Here is an 18,001-nt window from a genome sequence, read left to right on the forward strand (position 1 = left end):
ATGTTCTTACAATAAAGTAAGCTAGAGAAAAGAAAACGTTGTCAGGAAAATCATAAGAAAGAGAAAACATATTAACTATTAAGTGAAAGTGGATCATCATAAAGGTCTTCATCCTTGTCATCTTCACATTGAGTAGGCTGAGAAGAAGAAGTAAGTAGAGGGGTTGGTTTGCTTTCTCAGAGGTGGCAGAGGCAGAAGAAAATCCATGTATAAGTGACCCACACAGTTCAAGCTCATGTTGTTCAAGGGACAGCTGTATTCAATCTTCCATTGTAGCATAAAAGCAATGATAGATTATATCCCAGTGAATGGTAGTGACTATGATCCAATACAACTTTATCAAAGGACACTGAAATTTGAATTTCTTGTCATTTTTGTGTGTCATAAAACATCATTCTTCTTCTGATTTTTCAACCATTTAAAAATATAAAAACCACTCTTACTTTGTTGGCCCTATGAAAGCAGATGGCAGGCTGGATCAGGCCCACAGGCAACAGTTCACCAACCCCTGATCCAAAGCAATCCAGCTCTCTCACTTTTCTCTTTCTCGTCACCCTGTTTTATTTCCTTCATAAAATTACAACTATCTGATATCATGTTGTTTATGTATTTTCTCATATCTAGCACTGTGCTAGGCTCCAAGGATACAGCAATGAACAAAATGACATTTTCCTTTCCTTCACAGATCTTACATTCTTGTTGGAGGAAATAGACACAAAATTAAAAAATAAATAAGGCCATTTAGGATCCCATGAAGGGAATAGAGCATTATGGGCCTGGGTAGCAGTGGTGCTAATTTACTTTGGGTGCTCCAGGAAGACTCCTTTGAGGGGCAGCTTCTGACATATGAAGGACTGAGGGAGCCACAAATGAGAAGAAGAGGATTTCAGACAGGGACAGCAAGTGCAAAGGCCCTGAGGCAAGTAGGAGCTGGGCTCGTTGTGGGGAACTGAAAGAAAGCCAGTGTCCCTGGAATGCTGTGAGCTCAAGGTGACAGACTCAATTGTGCAGGCCATGGTAATGAGTTCAGATTACTCTGAATACATTGAGAGGCTTTAAATAGGGAAAGAGCATGACCCAATGGGCATTTTTGAAGATGACTCTGCTCCTGTGTGCAGGAATGGATTGCACACAGGACATGTATGTGTGTGTGAATGTACCTTTCCTTCCTTATCAGGAAGCTCCTTGAAGACCTCAGGCATATGAAGGCCTCAACAAAAACTTTATAAACTTAATGCATCAATTAAAACCATTAACACAGCCACATAACTTTTTCTTAACCTCCTCACTAGCAATCCTTTTTATAGCCTGGTTCCCAAAGCAGGTCAATTTATATCATAAAACTCAAAAATTACAGCTTATAGCATAAAATGACCTCCCATGATATAATGTGGCAAAATAAGCGAATTAATACCAGAGGTAGTAAATGTCTGGGCACTAATGTGACTTGAGTATGAAATATGTTTCCATCGCATTAGGAGTAAGGATCCAAAATGAGAGGGGGATCGGTGACCTGGCACCACCTACATGGAGCTAGCTATGCTAAGTCCTGGTTTAGAAGATCCACTTGGTATGAATGCAACCACTTAGGTATTTTTGATTCTTCTCATCATTTAGTCAACAAGTCGTTTTTTTGTTTGTTTGTTTGTTTGTTTTTTGTTGTTGTTGTTGTTGTGTGTGGGGGTTTTTTTGTGTGTTTTTTTGAGATGGAGTCTAGCTGTCGTCCAGGCTGGAGTACAGTGGCGCGATCTCAGCTCACTGCAACCTCCGCCTCCTGGGTTCAAGCGATTCTCCTGTCTCAACCTCCCGAGTAGCTGGGACTAGAGGTGCGTGCCACGACACCCAGCTAATTTTTTCTATTTTTAGTAAAGATAGGGTTTCCCTGTGTTAACCAGGGTGGTCTCGATCTCCTGACCTCGTGATCCGCCCACTCATCCTCCCAAAATGCTGGGATTACAGGCGTGAGCCACCACGCCCGGCCAGTCAGCAAGTATTCCTAAAAGTAAACTGTATTTAGATACTATGCCAGGCTTGTATCCAGAAATGAGCAAGGCAAAGAAAGCCTCTGGCCTCATGCAGTTTATGTGCTGTTGCTGTCATGGAGCAAACAATTTAATCAAAGAGAATAATTTCAGTGCTGTTAGTTGTAAGAATGCTGAGCCAAAAAATGGGGAAATGGAAGGCTACTTTAGATGGGTGGTCAGAAAAGTCTTTTCTGAGAAACTGACATTTTTGCTGAGACCTAAATAATGAGAAGCAGCCAGGCATCCACTGAGTCAAGGAATGAGGGCTCCAGGCAGAAGGAACAGCACATGCAAAGTTCTTGAGGTCAAAAAAAGCTTGGTGTATTTAAAGCATTATCTAGTACAGAGGTTTGTAAACCTCTTTTGTCAAAAGGCCAGATAGTAAATGTCTGAGGCTTTGTAGGCCATACAGTGTCTACTACAAATCTTCAACTCTGCCATTGTATCACAAAAGCAGCCATAGGTGATATGTAAATGATTAAGCATGGCTGAGTTCCAATAAAACTTTATTTATGAAAATAAGTGGAGGGCCAGATTTGGCCCACAGGCTAGAGTTTACCAGCCTATGGTCTAGTAGGATAGTGTCTCATGTGGGGGTCCTAGAAGCAGATCCTGACATCAGGGTTCCTGGGCTATTAAACCTATTGAATCCCTGGTTTCTCAGGAATGTGCTCCCAGGAAGAACCAGTAAGGGAGTAGGGAAGCAGGACAGGGAAGGAAAGAAAGCCAAGCAAGTCCTAGCCTCTGCCTGATCCCATGGGGAGCCTCAGAGTTCCACCTGTCTGTAAGCAAGGGCTGGGCTACCTTGGCTAATGACTGATTGACTCCACATCAATCAGTCATTGGCTCAAGGATAGCCAGGGGTACACACTTGAAGGCAGCAAGGGCACTCTGTGTGTACTGGCAGAGCAGCTTCAGCGACCAGGGGACATCCCCAGAAGAGAGCTGCAGGTGCACCTATTAGAAAGTAAAACACTCAGAAGCCAGACGTGGGCACAAGGATATAGTATCCAAAATCCAAAGGCATCCCTACTGTGTCCTCTACAGATGCATTTCCCTGTGGCCAGGTTCTTATCTAGCTCTCACTTGCATAGAAAAATGTCTCAGTTTCCCCAAAGTTACCTTTGTGAATAAAGGTAGACTCTCCACCTACCTCTCAGAGCTGATGTTAAAATATATCAAGTTCTTTTGTCCAAAAAAAGGATCAAAAGAAGAGGTGACTTTCACCTGATTGTCACTGATAAAATAATTAATTTACATAGCAATTCAAAATAGTGCAAATATACAGGAATCACGTTTTTGAAAGTGATCAGAGAAGCCTGGCCTCTGGCTTAGCCTTTCATATGCAGATCAGTGAGGGAGAGGGAACTGGCATTGACTGAGTACCTGCTGTGTGCATTGTGTCAAGAGCTTTTCTATCTTTTTTCTGATTTAACCCTTACCACACGCTTTAAGTAGCGATATTACCCCCATTTTATGGATGGGGAAACCGAGGTTCAGGTATAAGCCCCTCAAGGGCAGAACAGGGGCTGTAAAATTTAAAATCCTTAACTCATATTCACCGAATGGACCTCAGAAAGGTCTGTAACATACTGAGGGTGACCATGACTGACAGGTGACAGAGTTAGGATTTAAGGCCGGTTCTGACACTGAAGTCTGTGCATTTTTCTAGTGGCACCTTTCAGACTGGTGATTCGAAGGAATAAATACAAAATGGCTAGCCAGTGGCGTCATGCAGTGCTCTTTGTATAAGGAGGTGGCATTCCTGTGCCAAGCATGTGATTTGTGTCAATTGCTTGCTGTCGTGAGGAGGCCTTGCCGAGACTCCTTCACACATTCTCACTGTGCCACTCCCAGATCAGAACAGACACATGCAGTCCTCTTATCCTGTTCCCTGGACAAATCTTTCCCAAGACGGAACCTGGGACATGCCTAATAATGATCTGACTTGCTGGTTCAATCAACAAATATTTATTCAGCATTTATTATGTACCAGGCACCATCAAAGCCCTGAAGACACAAACTTTTATGACAATCATAATTAACATGGAGTTAGCGCCCTACCAGTGTTATCTCATTATTCCCTTCCCACATCCTCCAAAGTAGGATCATGGGTCCCCATGTTGTAGAAGAAAAAGCTAAGCCTTAAAGAGGTTAAGTAAGTGGCCCATTATCATACAGTTAGGAAGCAGCAGAACAAGAATTCAAATGCAAATTTGCCAAACTTCATTATCACTGCCAGAACTCATGCCCTGTCCTGATTCTTGCAAAAAATCAGGGCTAATAGTTATTGAATGCTTACTATGTCCGAGGCACTCTTTAAAACTCTTTACATACATCATGCCATTTTATCTTTCCTGCCATCACACCAGATAGGTCCCTGTCATCACCCCTATTTTACAGATGAAGTACCTAAAGTCAACAGAAATTAAGCGCCTTGACCATCACCACACAGCTTTCAGCTGGTGGAGCTTGGATTTAAACCCCAGCTCTGCTGGACTTTAGGGCTTGCTGGGAAGCAGAGTTATAATTTTTTAATTACCAAAAAAAGGAAAAAATAAAATAGTAAGAAGAATAAACATATACTGAAAGCTTACTTATGTGCCAAACACTGGGTTTAGTACTTCTTTGTTTTAGCTTATTCAAGCTTCCGTGCTCTGGGAAGTAGGTGATTTTCTTATTCCTATTTTACAGTTGAAGGAATGGAGGTATAGCAAAGTGAGGTCATCCTACCCAGTCACACAAATGTTTTGTGATGAGGGCAAAATTCAATTACAGATTGGTCTGACTCTCCAAGATAAACAGATTAACCCTATTTTTATCCAGGGAAGATTTTCCTGCATGCTTGGTCTGTGACCTGGGTTTATGAAGAATGAATAGAAACCTGTGCTCGCCTGCTCCATCCAATTGACTGCAATATGCAAAAGAGGCTTGAATGTAGAGCTTCGAGGAGTTTGGGGTGAAAGAAGGTGGCAGAAGGAAAGTAAAAACGGGTACAGTAATTCCCAGGGCTCTTTGTCAAGTTCCTGACCAAATGCCCGGCAGGGGCTTTCTTCCTCTTCTTCCACTTCTTCCTTCATTCATAAGAGTTTTACCGCCTCGAACAACGTGAAATGTGTAGCTTGGGCTTGTTGAGAATGGAGTGTGTCTGTTAAGTGTTGCTTCTTGAATGCTGGACCGCCACCTCCATCTTAGTTACGCACGCCCATCTTTTTCAATCTAATGAACTCCAACCATCAGTGCAACTTAAGTTCGGCTGTCTGTTCGTGCATAGTTAATATTAAAAATGTACTAACAGTGTGGCTGAGAAATCAAATTATGCACATAAATATGCTGGCATAGCACAGGCGGCGGCAGAAGCTGAAGTTAGCAACACTGATGCCAGTTCACATTTGCAAATCTCCCGTCAATCTGTCATTAAACATGTTATCAAATGATGATAAGTGTATGCTTCTTGCTTGCATTGGTGAGCCGATTCCCGATGTTGATGCACATTAATGGGATAATACGCATTAACATAGTTGTGCTTGGATGAACACAAAACATTTTTTATCTGTCTCCGTTTGTTTCCCCCTGTGGCCCCGAAGTAAGTGTTTTGTGTTATCAAATTGCCAAAAACACGGGAAAACATATTACTTTTAATTAGCAAATCTTGTTGGGATTTTCCCCCCTACACGCCCGTCCCCCCCACCCCCATTGTGTGATGGCAATAAGAGAGAGAAAGAGAGAGGAGAGAGAAATAGAGAGAGGAAGAGAGAGAGGAACTCTACTGTCTTCTTTCAGTAAAACGATTAATGTCAGCAACTCAGAAGCTGGCAATTATGTTCTGTCTTAATGCACTGGCCTTTCATCTGGGGCCCTTACTCTTGACAGGCCTGATCGTTTCAGTTCAGTGATATGAAAGGCAGCAGAGGAAATGATCGTAGACATCCCGGGTCTGTCACGAGGGCCGGCGCTGCAATTCGGATCCAGCTCCACGTTCTGAAGCTGTTCAGCAGAGTCAGAAGCACAGGAGACAGATGGTGGCCCCAGGCATTGCCCAGACTTTGGGTGTCACTGTGCTGAGTGGGGAAGTTGTAGCTACCACCATTTCCCAAACTTAAGAACTGGGAAAATGTGCAAGCCCCCACAAAGTGAGAAACACGGTATTAAAAAGTTAAATGTCCTTTTGCGTTGATCACAGAGCACCAGCTCAACGCAAGGATAAACGTGAATGCGGGCAGTGATTTCATACAGCAGTGTTTGGATAGGAGTCTCTTCTCCTGAGGATCCAGGAGAGGATTGGATTCATTTTTCACCAAAATGAAAATAAAATTTAGATATTCTTGATTGAAAATTCAGAACTTTATGAAATTTTTTTGCAGATGTTGGGTCAGTACAATATCTGAGAAATGGGGCCAGGTGCGGTGGCTCACGCTTGTATCCCAGCATTCTGGGAGGACAAGGCAGGCAGATCACTTGAGGTCAGGAGTTCAACACCAGCCTGGCCAACATGGTGAAACCCCATCTCTACTAAAAAGACAGAAATTAGCTGGGCATGGTGGTGCCTGCCTATAATTCCAGCTACTTGGGAGGCTGAGGCAGGAGAATTGCTTGAACCCAGGAGGTGGAGGTTGCAGTGAGCCAAGATGGTGCCACTGCATTTCAGCCTGGGGCCGCAGAGCAAGACTCCGTCTCCATCTCAAGAGAAAAAAAAAAGAAAGAAAGAAAGAAAAAGAAATGGTAGTGGTGCCCAGCTTCCTTTGTGAAGTGATGTTCTGAGCCATTAGGGTTATATATGTTTCCACAAAGGATCTGTCAGGACATCTTTGAGATTGGATTGATTCATTCATTCAACACAGATGGATTGAATATCTACTATATGCCAGAATTACTGTAGCATCAGGGAGTAGGACAGAAATGATTCCTACCCTCATGAAGCTTTGGGTATTTGGGGAAGGGAAAACAGAGGTTTTTTTTTAAATTGCTACATAATAATCAATTTATTTTTATTATGAAAAGTGAAGGTAGAGGTATATGGAGTGCAGTTGTTGTAGCATTTACTTCTCGAGCTCAGTGGAAAATGTTTTCTGCCATTAATAATGCCAAAAGGTTATGTGTTTGGCCTTCCTGGATTCTTGTTTACATGTGTTTTAAAATTAACATTGACTTCTTGCCATTTGTGTTTGTTCCTAAGCGGAGTGAGCGGCTTATTAATGATTAGAATTATTGTTGCTATTATGAATGCACTAATTAAAAGAAAATTCTGTCATGAGGCTTTGTGAGGCAACACAAGACTTTACAGTTAGAGACGTCAGGTCTGGAAGTGTGGAGACAAAAGTGTGAAATAAGAAAACAGAGTTCAGGATGAGGAAAAGAGTTCTCAAGATGTCTACAGTCCTTCATTAGAGATTCTTTTTCAGGGCATTTTCCCTAGTAAGGGTATGATGAAAATCCAGTTGTTTTTTGATTGGAGGTGTCACCTTTATTGTTTTTCTTTTTTTTTGGTCTTAGGGCAGAAATAGCCGGCTTCTCTCCAACTTGAATTCTAAGAACATTTTATCTTCTACAGCTTTATTCAAATATGTAAAAACAGGCACAGTAGCTCACACCTGTAATCCCAGCACTTTGGGTGACTAAAGTAGGAACATCAACGGCTTGAGCCCAGGAGTTTGAGACCAGCCTGAACAACACAGTGAGGTCCTTTCTCTACAAAAATAATTTATTTTTACTTAGTCAGGTAGGGTAGTGTGCACCTGTAGTCCCAGCTACTTGGGAGGATCACTTAATCCCAGGAGTTCAAGGCTGCAGTGAGCTATGATTGTACCAATATACTTCAGCATGGGTAACAGAGCAAGACCCTGTCTCAAAAATACACACACACACACACACACACACACACACACACACACACGTAACACTTCTGAATTGATGACCAGATGCCAGACCAAGGATGCCAGACCAGGACACAGTTCCTCCCCGAGGTTCATCATCTAGGGGACAAGGAAGTGAAGCGAATGCACAATCGTAGTGCCTGGACACATTGCTGTGATGGGAAAGATACAGGTGCACAAAAGAGGGGCACCCAGTCTTGTCCTTCGTAGTAGGAACAAATTATTTCTTTATATTGTGAATAAGTATTTATTTAACATACTCAATATACTGAACTTTTTCAAGGAGACAAAAATAGACATAATAATGATACGAGCTTATATTTATTGAAAAATTACATGGCACTTCTCTAATTGTTCATTTGAATTGTCTGTTCTCTAATTGTCTGTTCTCTTGCTGGTCTTTCCCACTCTACCTTGAGCCTCACCAGGGCAGACACTGTGTTTATCAGAACTCATCTCCAGGGTCTGGTCCACAAGGGGTGGGCATTTTCATGTGCATTGACTTACTTTTCAGGAGTTACAGTTTAGATGTTGGAGGTTAAAAGGTGATTGCAATACAAGTGCAGTATAAGTAACATGTGTACCCTAAGATCTGTCATGGGTTCAGAGGAATGAAACTGAACCCACCGCATCCCACAGAGTGAGCAGCTGTTACTTATCTGTTGAGTATCCCCAGAAGAGGAAGTGTTGCTTGACTGTCTAAGAGGTTAGTAAACTTGCATGGAGACTGAGATTGGAAAAAGCTTGGGAAATAATTAGTTACAGTGAGTGCCAGGGTAGTGGTATTTTGGATTTCTTGTCCTTCTAAAATTGTTTTTCTGTGGTTAATATCACCTTGAAAACAAACAAAAATCATGGTAGATGAAAGTAGAAGTCATTTTTTAGGAGTTAATATTTTTCTTATTCAACCTGAATTTCTTGAGTTTTTAAAACTTTTAATGACTCAGCTTTTTTTCCCCTCCAAGAGTATTTCAAAATGGAAAATTTTATATTCTATAAAAATATTTTTCAAATCTCTTCCTGACATTTATTGGAGAAGATTAAAGTCTTTAATCCTCAAGCTAATTTCTATGTGGTCCTCATAAAATTCCACTATAATTCCATTATCGGGAGGCTGGCCATAGAGGAAACTTGAGTCTTCAACCTAATGTAAAAATCTGCCTTTAGACAGATGTGTAGATTTTTCTTAATGTCAAAAACTAGTTACCGGTAGGCCAGGTGCAGTGGCTCACACCTGTAATCCCTCCTGCACTTTGGGAGGCCAAGATGGGCAGATCACTTGAGGTCAGGAGTTCGAGACCAGCCTAGCTAACATGGTAAAACCCTGTCTGGACTAAAAATACAAAAATTAGCCAGGTGTGGTGGCAGATGCCTGTAGTCCCAGCTACTCAGGAGGCTGAGGCAGGAGAATTGCTTGAACCCGGGAGGTGGAGGTTGCAGTGAGCCGAGATCACACCACTGCACACTGCACTCCAGCCTGGGTGACAGAGCAAGACTCCGTTTCAAAAAAAAAAAAAAAAACTAGCTACTGTTCAATAAGTTTTAGGTTTATATTGACATTAAAATTTGTTAATAGAAGTCTAGTTTTCTCACATCTGTGTTTTTTTGCCAAAGTCTTGGAGAATGAATAGTCTTGGCATCCCATCAACAGTGATTGGGAGGACCGCTCATTTATTCATTCAACATATTTTTAGGTGCCTACCATTGCCAGACACTGTAGTAGGTTCTGGAAGCTTAGGACTGAACAGAGACAATATTTCTGCTCTCAAGGAGTTGTCATTCTAGTGGGAAAGACAGATCCTACACAAATGAAAATATAATATGCCTGATGCTAATAAGTGCTAAGAAGAGAAAAAGAAGAGCAATAGAGAGGAAGGCTATTTTATTTATTCATGTTTTAATATTTTATTTTATTTTAATTTAATTCAATGGTTTTGGGGAAACAGGTGGTTTTTGGTAAAACGGATAAGTCATTTAATGGTGATTTCCAAGATTTCAGTGCACCCATCACCTGAGCAAAGTACATGGTACCCAATGTGTAGTCTTTTATCCCTCACCACCCCCCACCCTTTGCCCTGAGTCCCCAAAGTCCATTATATCATTCTTATGCCTTTGAGTCCTCATAACTTAGCTCCCACTTAAAAGTGAAAACATACAATATTTGGTTTTCCATTCCTGAGTTACGTCACTTAGAATAATGGTCTCCAACTCATCCAGATAGCTGCAAATTCCATGATTTCACTCCTTTTTATGGCTGAGTAGTATTCAGTGGTGTATATATACCACATTTTCTTTATCCACTCTTTGGTTGATGGGCATTTAGACTGGCTCCATATTTTTATAACTGCAAATTGTGCTGCTATAAACACGCATGTGCAAGTGTCTTTTACATATAATCACTTCTTTTCCCCTGGGTAGATACCGAATAGTGGGATTGCCTCATTAAATGGTAGTTCTATTTTTAGTTCTTTAAGGAATCTCCACACTGTTTTCCATAGAAGTTGTGCTAGTTTACATTCCCACCAGCAGTGTTAAAGTGTTCCCTTTCTACCGCATCCACACCAACATCTATTTTTTTTTATTTTTTAATTATGGCCATACTTGCAGGAATAAGGTGGAATCTCATTGAGGTTTTATGTTGCATTCCCTTAATAATTAGTGATGCTGAGCATTTTTCCGTATGTTTGTTGGCCATTTGTTTATTTCCTTTTGAGAATTATCTATTCATGTCCTTTGGAGGAAGGCTATTTTAGAGACATGGTTTAGGGAAAGCTTGTCTGAGAAAGGGATGTCTGAGCTGAGACCTGAATGAATCAAAAAAGGAAGACATGCAAATATCTGGGAAGTTGAAATAAATCAGCTTCTAATTCTGATGGCAATTAGCTAAGTCATAAAAAGAATAAAACCATGATCAAACAATCATTGAAAATTGAAATGATTGAAATTTTGCAATGAGTGCAAAAGACTATTAATTATAGCCAGGGGATCAAAAGACAATGAAATCTAAACATTTTCTACATTGCTATTATTTCAATGATAACTTTCATTTCTGTTCCCAGAAATTGCATGAAGAGTTGTAAATGGCCTGAGAATGAGATTTAGTGGTTTTTAATTCAGAGGATTAGTTGTCAATATTTAAAATCAGAGAAATTTACATTAAACTCCATATTTTCAGCTTCTCTTGAAAAACTAGAAAAATTGTCAATGGCGTTCCACCTTCCTATGTGGAGTCAGTTGGAGCTAAGGGATATTTTCCCCTTTCAACAGGACGTGCTCTCTTCAGGTTACCACAATCCCCACCACCTCCTACTACCCTACCCCAAGCCCCCACCCTCGTTTATATTTTCTGCTTGGCCCCTATATGCACTGCAATTTGTGATCACAACTTCAAAGGTTTATAGGGTTAATACTTCACTGTTCATTTTGGTGGATTCATGATCATCCAAACCTTAGCTTACATCTATCACTAATTTAAAAAGTACTCTAAATCAAAAACTAAGTAATTTTTTTTAATTGAGCAAACATTTATACAATGTCTACTATATGAAAGGCAAACTACTAGAAAAAAAAGGATTAGAGTTAAAAGACACAGGTTCTCATCTCCAGGAGTTCACTGTTTATTGGGGAATAAAAGTATCATTCTAACAATGTCCCCCATATTTTTAAACACTTTTAATATAGTCAAAGCACTCTGAGATCTGTTACTTCGTTTGGTCTATCCAGAATTCTAGGTAAGAGGAAACACAACTATTATTGGTTTCATTATGGGTATTACGTGCAAAGACAGGTATAGAGAGGTAAATGTATTTGTCCAAAGTGACAAGGCTGCCAGTATTAAGGCCAAGGCTAGACCTGTAGTCAGTGTCCACTCTCAAAAGTTCTATTTTACCAACTATAATCTCCAAAGTGCTACCTATGTCAAGGGTTGGCAAATCCAGCCTACCACCTGTTTCTGTAAATAAAGTTTTTTTGGAAACAGCCTTGCCATTTGTTTACATATTGTCTATGGCTGCTTTTGTGCTATAATGTCATATTTGAGGGGTTGCAATGGAGACTGTTATGATCTACAGAATCTGAAATATTTACTACCTAGTCCTTTACAGGAAAAATTTGCCGACCCATGGCCTATGCAGTAGCTGCTTAGTGAGGGTAGATGTGAGCGTAGGGGAGAAAGCCATATTCCCATGTCTCCTCAAGAACATGAAAACTGAAGGAAAGGTCACCAATTCACGGTGAGGGGTGCTAGTCAGTTCCAAATACCCTGGTCAAAAATATCAAGAGCAGGCTGGGAGCGGTGGCTCACGCCTGTAATCCCAGCACCTTGGGAGGCCGAGATGGGTGGATTGCTTGAGGTCAGGAGTTCGAGACCAGCCCGGCCAACATGGTGAAACCCAGTCTCTACTAAAAATACACAAAATTAGCTGGATATGGTGGCACACACCTGTATTCGCAGCTACTCAGGAAGCTGAGGCAGGAGAATCTATTGAACCTGGGCGGTGGAGGCTGCAGTGAGCTGAGATCAGGCCACTGCACTCTGGCCTGGACGATAGAGCAAGACTCTGTCTCAAAAAAAAAAAAAAAAAAAGATCAAGAGCAAAATTGTGGGTTCAGTTAGGATTCTCAATTACACATCACAGAATCTACACCAGCTAACAGAAAAAAAGTTTCATCAAATGTTATTATATAGTTCATGGGACCACCCAGAGATCCAGAGAATCAGATTTGAAGGCTACACAGTCAAGAGTTTTGCCAGGACTGTGCTGGTGGGACCACTCTTGCACTGGCTGTGCTGGACGTTTGACTTTCCTATTAGGAGTTCTGAAACAGCTCCCTCTGCAGGGCAGATGGCTTTCACCCAGGTCATGATAAAATCCGCCTGGCACCTGCCTCCTCACAGCACACTCTTCTGAATCAAAGCCCTACGTTGGTACATTTGGTACATCAAGGCAAACCTTAATTTCTGCCTTGAGGAATGTCCTTCCTTCCAGTCAAGTTATTGGGATACTGACACCATGGTACAGATGATATTAGTAATTTCTGAAGGGAAAAAATATAGATATCACAGAAAGATAGTCAGGATAGCATTTAAAAAAAAAAAAAAAGAACAGATAGGGAATTTCGTTAAGGGGAATTCCAAAATTGCCCATGGGAAAAGGACATCTTTGGTTATGGAACATTTAGTGTCTGGCCTATGATGGGGAAGGTCTCACATATAATAATCTTAATAATAATGACTAATTATTGAGGCTTCGGTCCATTCATCTAGGAGGAGAGCATGATTCTGTCCACATGTTTTCTATACCAAAACTGCTGCATGGTGAACTGGTAATCCTGACCCTTACAGGGGTAGAGAGTTAATCTGAGACCATCTGTGCCTTAAACTTCCACACTGGAAATGAGAGGATTTTTGACTGCTTGTCTGGAACATTTCTGAATCCAGTAGCAAAGCAATCCTAGTAGCCTCTCTAGCCTTCCAAGAACTCTTTCTGAAGTTCATTAGAATTTCACCCTCCTGGCCAGTAAATGCACACAAACCACCTATTTTTTTTTTTTTTTTTTGAGACAGGGTCTTGCTCTGCTGCCCAGGCTGAAGTGCAGTGGTGCAATCATAGCTCACTGCAGCCTTGAACTCCCAGGTTCAAACCATCCTCCTGCCTCAGTCTCCCGAGTAGTTGGGACTACACATGTGCACCACCATGGCCAGATTTTTTTTAATATTTTTTTGTAGAGATGGGGTCTCACTATGTTGCCCAGTCTATAAACCACCTTCTGGCTACAATTTCCTTTTCCATGCTGCATGTGTACTAACAGTAACTGCATTACCCAGAATAGAAGCTAACAATCTGTTGAGAGTTTGCTCACTGTCAGGCTCCAGAGCAATGGCTCCTTTAATCCCCCTCAATGGCCCTGTTATCATTTTCCAATTCAGACAGTCAGAGAGTTGAAGTAACTTGACTAAGGTCACAGATCCAGTGAGTAGCAAGGCTCAGATAAAAGTCACATGCATCTAACACTACATGCTTCTTATATGTCCCCTCAGGAATATGGAATAATCAGAGAAGACTCAATCTCATCATTGGTCCATTCACAGTCAATAGTTTAATTAGGTGGGTAGGGAGTTTTGATGATATAAGGGTCGCCATTGAAAACAAGAGCAAGAATTTGAAACCCACCACCATTAGCACAAAGGCCACGCTCTTAAGCACAGATTGTATGAGTTATCTTTTAAAATCTCCGTGGCATTTCTATACTTTTTAGTATAAATTAATACATGAGCCAAGTGCAGTGGCTCACACCTGTAATCCCAGCACTTTGGGAGGCCAAGGTAGGAGGATCACTTAAGCCCAGGAGTTTGAGACCAGCCTGGCCAACATGGCAAAACCCTGTCCCTACTAAAAATACAAAAATTAGCCAGGCCTGGTGGTGCAGGCCTGTAATCCCAGCCACTCGGGAGGCTGAGGCACGAGAATTGCTTGAACACAGGAGGCAGAGATTGCAGTGAGCTGAGATCATGCCACTGCACTCCAGCCTGGGAAAGAGAGTGAGACTCTGTCTCCACCTCAAAAACAAAAACAATTAATACATGAGAATTCCAGGTTATTCTTCAGGCCCCCTCACTCTTCAGGCAACAGAAGGCTGACCAGTCTTGGATGTTGTCCAGAGGGCATGGACACTTTGAGAAGGGGGAAGGCAAACAACAGTGTGGCACCAGACAGACTGGTTATGGATGCTGCTCTGTCAATTACCAGGCATGTACCCAGTGCTGTGCTGGTAAATTTTAACAACTGGCTCTCAAAAAAAAAAAAAAAAAAGAAAAGAAACAGGTCCTGGCCAGGCATGGTGGCTCACACCTGTAATCCCAGCACTTTGGGAAGCCAAGGCTGGCAGATCACGAGGTCAGGAGATGGAGACCATCCTGGACAACATGGTGAAACCCCATCTCTACTAAAAATACAAAAATTAGCTGGGCGCAGTGGTGCATGTCTGTAATCCCAGCTACTCGGGAGGCTGAGGCAGGAGAATTGCTTGAAAAAGGGAGTCGGAGGTTGCAATGGGCCGAGAGATCATGCCACTGCACTCCAGCCTGGCGACAGAGCGAGACTCCATCTCAAAAAAAATAGATAAATAAAATAAAATAACAGGTCCTGATTTGCCGTGTTGACCAATTTCTGTGGTGTAAATACTTCCACAGTGGGAAGAGGCGCACACAGGCAGCTGTCATGAGCTCTTGTGAGCTAGGAGGGGCTGGATCTTGGCAGGTCGCTTAATCGCTCTAGCCTCCAGAGACTGAGCAAAAGGCAGGTACCTCCCTCAAAGGTTGTTAGGCAGATTAATAACAAAACATGGTAAAGCAGTTAGTGCCGAACCTAGCACTGTGGTAGACGTTTGCTAAATGGCTTGATTTACTAGTTGAGATTCCATTAGGTAAAGTCCTAATGTCTTATGCCTCAAATGTTTTAATCTTAAAAATAGTCATAAAATACTTTCCCCACCTCTTGCTCAGGATAATTGGAATGATTGAGTGAGATCATCTGCATCAACTGCTTTGGAAGTCCACAAGCTTATAAAAAAAAAAGAGAGAGAGAGAGACAGAGAGTATTTTATTAAAGTCAAGTCAAACCCAGAGAATAAATTTTTGCTGGGCAAAAATTATACAACTGAGTCATAAGTTTTTAGTTCTTCTGTCATCATTTTTTCCTGAGCTTTCAGGTTCTCCTCAGCTCCTGATACTTAAATAATTCCCATTTAAAAAGCATTTAATTGAGAGGAGCCTGGAAACTCACCAGCTCAGAGAAAAATTCAGTCCATCAAGAGGTTCTGAGAGTCTTTGGGTTTAAGTCTTTCTGATCTTTTACTCCTCAATCCTCTAATCCTTTTTGTGAGGAATCTTTCACAATCCTTGTTTTTAGTTCTTATTTCTCAAGTTTCCCTTTGAAAAGCAGGATTCCCATCACATCTCAAAGGTGAAGGCAGCATAAAGCCTGCTTCCAACAACACTACTGCGGTTACATAAAGACACGAGTCATTTCTGCTGCTGGAGGCTCCAGTGGAGTGTTCCCTTGGATTTGCTCATTTCTTTGCTTGGTCCTCCCTGTGATCTTAGAGGATTGCAGTATTTATGAACATCATCTTGTTACTTTCCATTTAGTACATTTCTGCCTAGTCATTGGTTTTTAATTTTGTCCTCGTACCCTCCATTTACAAACAGAAATGTTTAACTAATGCTTCAACAACCCAGGTTCATGGATTGACACTAATTGCTCACCATACTCATTTCCATTTGCAGGCAAAGCCAGACCTCCTGGTTGCAGGATAGCACAGTTATAAAAAATTTGCGTTCTGTGGTCCAAAACCCTCCTGTTCAAATCTTGGCCTTGCAGCTTTCTAGATGTGAATTCTGGGCAAATTACTTAAACTCTCTGTATGTCCGTTTTTCCTATAAAAACATGGATAATAATAAGACCTATCTCAAGGGGTAGTAAAGAAAGTTAAATGAGTTTATGTATACGTGTGTGTGTGTGTGTGCACGTGTATGACTTAAATAGCTCCTGATAATCACTAAAAACAAAGAAATGTTAGCTATTATCATCATAAAGCGGTGTTTCCCTAATTGTATTCACATGATATTTGTACTTTTTGCCATATCTGCAAACCCCTGTGCTTTTATTTACTTATGATAAATACTTGTATTAAAGAGGAAACTTTAATCACTAGACTAAATGGAAACCAGTATAACTTAACAAAAAAAGGAGCAAATGACAAAAGATACATAAAGTGACCACAAAACAATGTTTTCATATCTGGCCAGATCCTGATGCTTGCCTAAGTCTTGGAGCTGAGCTCTGGTTTCTCTTTGTTGGGACAAGAGGTTAAAAAGTGTTAGTGGGATGTTAAAACCTTGAACTTGAATTTGAACTTGACACTTTGAGATTTTCTTTTTTGGAGCATAGAAGAAAATTTAAAACAGCCATCTTTCACTTTATAGTTCTGTGTTTTTTGTTTTTTGCTTGTATTGCTGCCTCTATGGACCTCCTAAAAGTTTCTCTCATATATCTAATGTTCTGCACCTCATGCTTTAGCTAAGGTGAAGTTGAAGGATTCATTACTATCCAGGTCTGTAATGACTGCAAAAAAAAAAAAAAAAAAAATCCAGGCAGTTTGATGCATATTATTCTTGAAGACTGTTTCTCCTCTCAGCCTTAGTTCTGTTATCTATCCGTCCCATCTCCAAAATTTTTTTTAATGGTGTGCTTCCTTCATAAATTTTTCAGATCTAGGTCTGCGTTTTTGTCTCCTCTGAAGTCCAGAAATTGATGTCTCATTGAGGAATTTGCAATTTGCTCTGGGCTTCACAATGCTGAGCTGCCCACTTCCTGACTTAAGGAAAAGACCAGATGTCAGTGTTTATTAGTGTGATCATGCAGTTTAGTTGCTGTAAGGTTTTATTCTTAAAAGATTGCAATCTATCCTATTGCATGATCACCCAACATTCAATATGCTGGCAATTTCCAATATGTAACCTCCTTCAAATTAGGCTCAGTGTTATCTCCCTCATCCATCAGTACAGCAAGATGGGTGAAAAGTGCTGTCGAAAACAGCTGGTCAGCTGGGCTAGCATTTCCAGGGTTGTTTCATCTCAAGCCCTTTCACTCCCACACACTTTATCTTTTTCTTAAAACACAGTCTCTGGACTATCTTTGTCCTTTATCATAACTTGAGTTTGTTCTGTTCTTCCTTGGTCTGAGGTCAAAGCCATCTTCCTAGAAACTTCTTTATATTTTTGGTCCAAGGCTAAGGTTAGGGTGATACAAACCCAGAAATACATCTCTTATCTTTTCCCTGTTCAAGGCAGTTGACAGTTTTGCATAGTCACTCATATTTTTCATGCAAGCTTTGGAAATTTTCCCCAAGCAAAGAGACTGAGATGAAACCAAGTTTTAGAATTTCTGCAGGTCTAGGGACGCCATCACAAAATGGACTTTGGAGTCTGCTTATGCTGCAGATGGAATGAATGAAGTAGAAAGGGAAATGATCTGCCCAAAGTGAATCCAGGATCTTTGATTTCCAATCCATTTACCCCAGACAACTTCAAGGTAGAGAAAG

The 18,001-nt window shown here is 41.1% G+C and overlaps 1 protein-coding gene across 10 annotated transcripts in view, besides 2 other annotated features; it reads left to right on the plus strand.

Moving 5' to 3' along the window:
* TSHZ2 (teashirt zinc finger homeobox 2) overlaps positions 1-18,001 on the plus strand; it is a 522,973-nt gene that overhangs the window by 306,652 nt on the left and 198,320 nt on the right. The window lies entirely within an intron of this gene.
* Positions 3,108-3,663: an enhancer, noted in NCBI's record as "OCT4-NANOG hESC enhancer chr20:51898656-51899211 (GRCh37/hg19 assembly coordinates)". NCBI's record gives its function as "activates a minimal SCP1, AML or CMV promoter by ChIP-STARR-seq in naive and primed H9 embryonic stem cells {active_cell/tissue: H9 hESC(naive and primed)}" and the evidence as "EXISTENCE:reporter gene assay evidence [ECO:0000049][PMID:30033119]".
* Positions 3,926-4,532: an enhancer, noted in NCBI's record as "NANOG hESC enhancer chr20:51899474-51900080 (GRCh37/hg19 assembly coordinates)". NCBI's record gives its function as "activates a minimal SCP1, AML or CMV promoter by ChIP-STARR-seq in primed H9 embryonic stem cells {active_cell/tissue: H9 hESC(primed)}" and the evidence as "EXISTENCE:reporter gene assay evidence [ECO:0000049][PMID:30033119]".

Source organism: Homo sapiens, chromosome 20 (assembly GCF_000001405.40).
Source record: "Homo sapiens chromosome 20, GRCh38.p14 Primary Assembly".
NCBI lineage: Eukaryota > Metazoa > Chordata > Mammalia > Primates > Hominidae > Homo > Homo sapiens.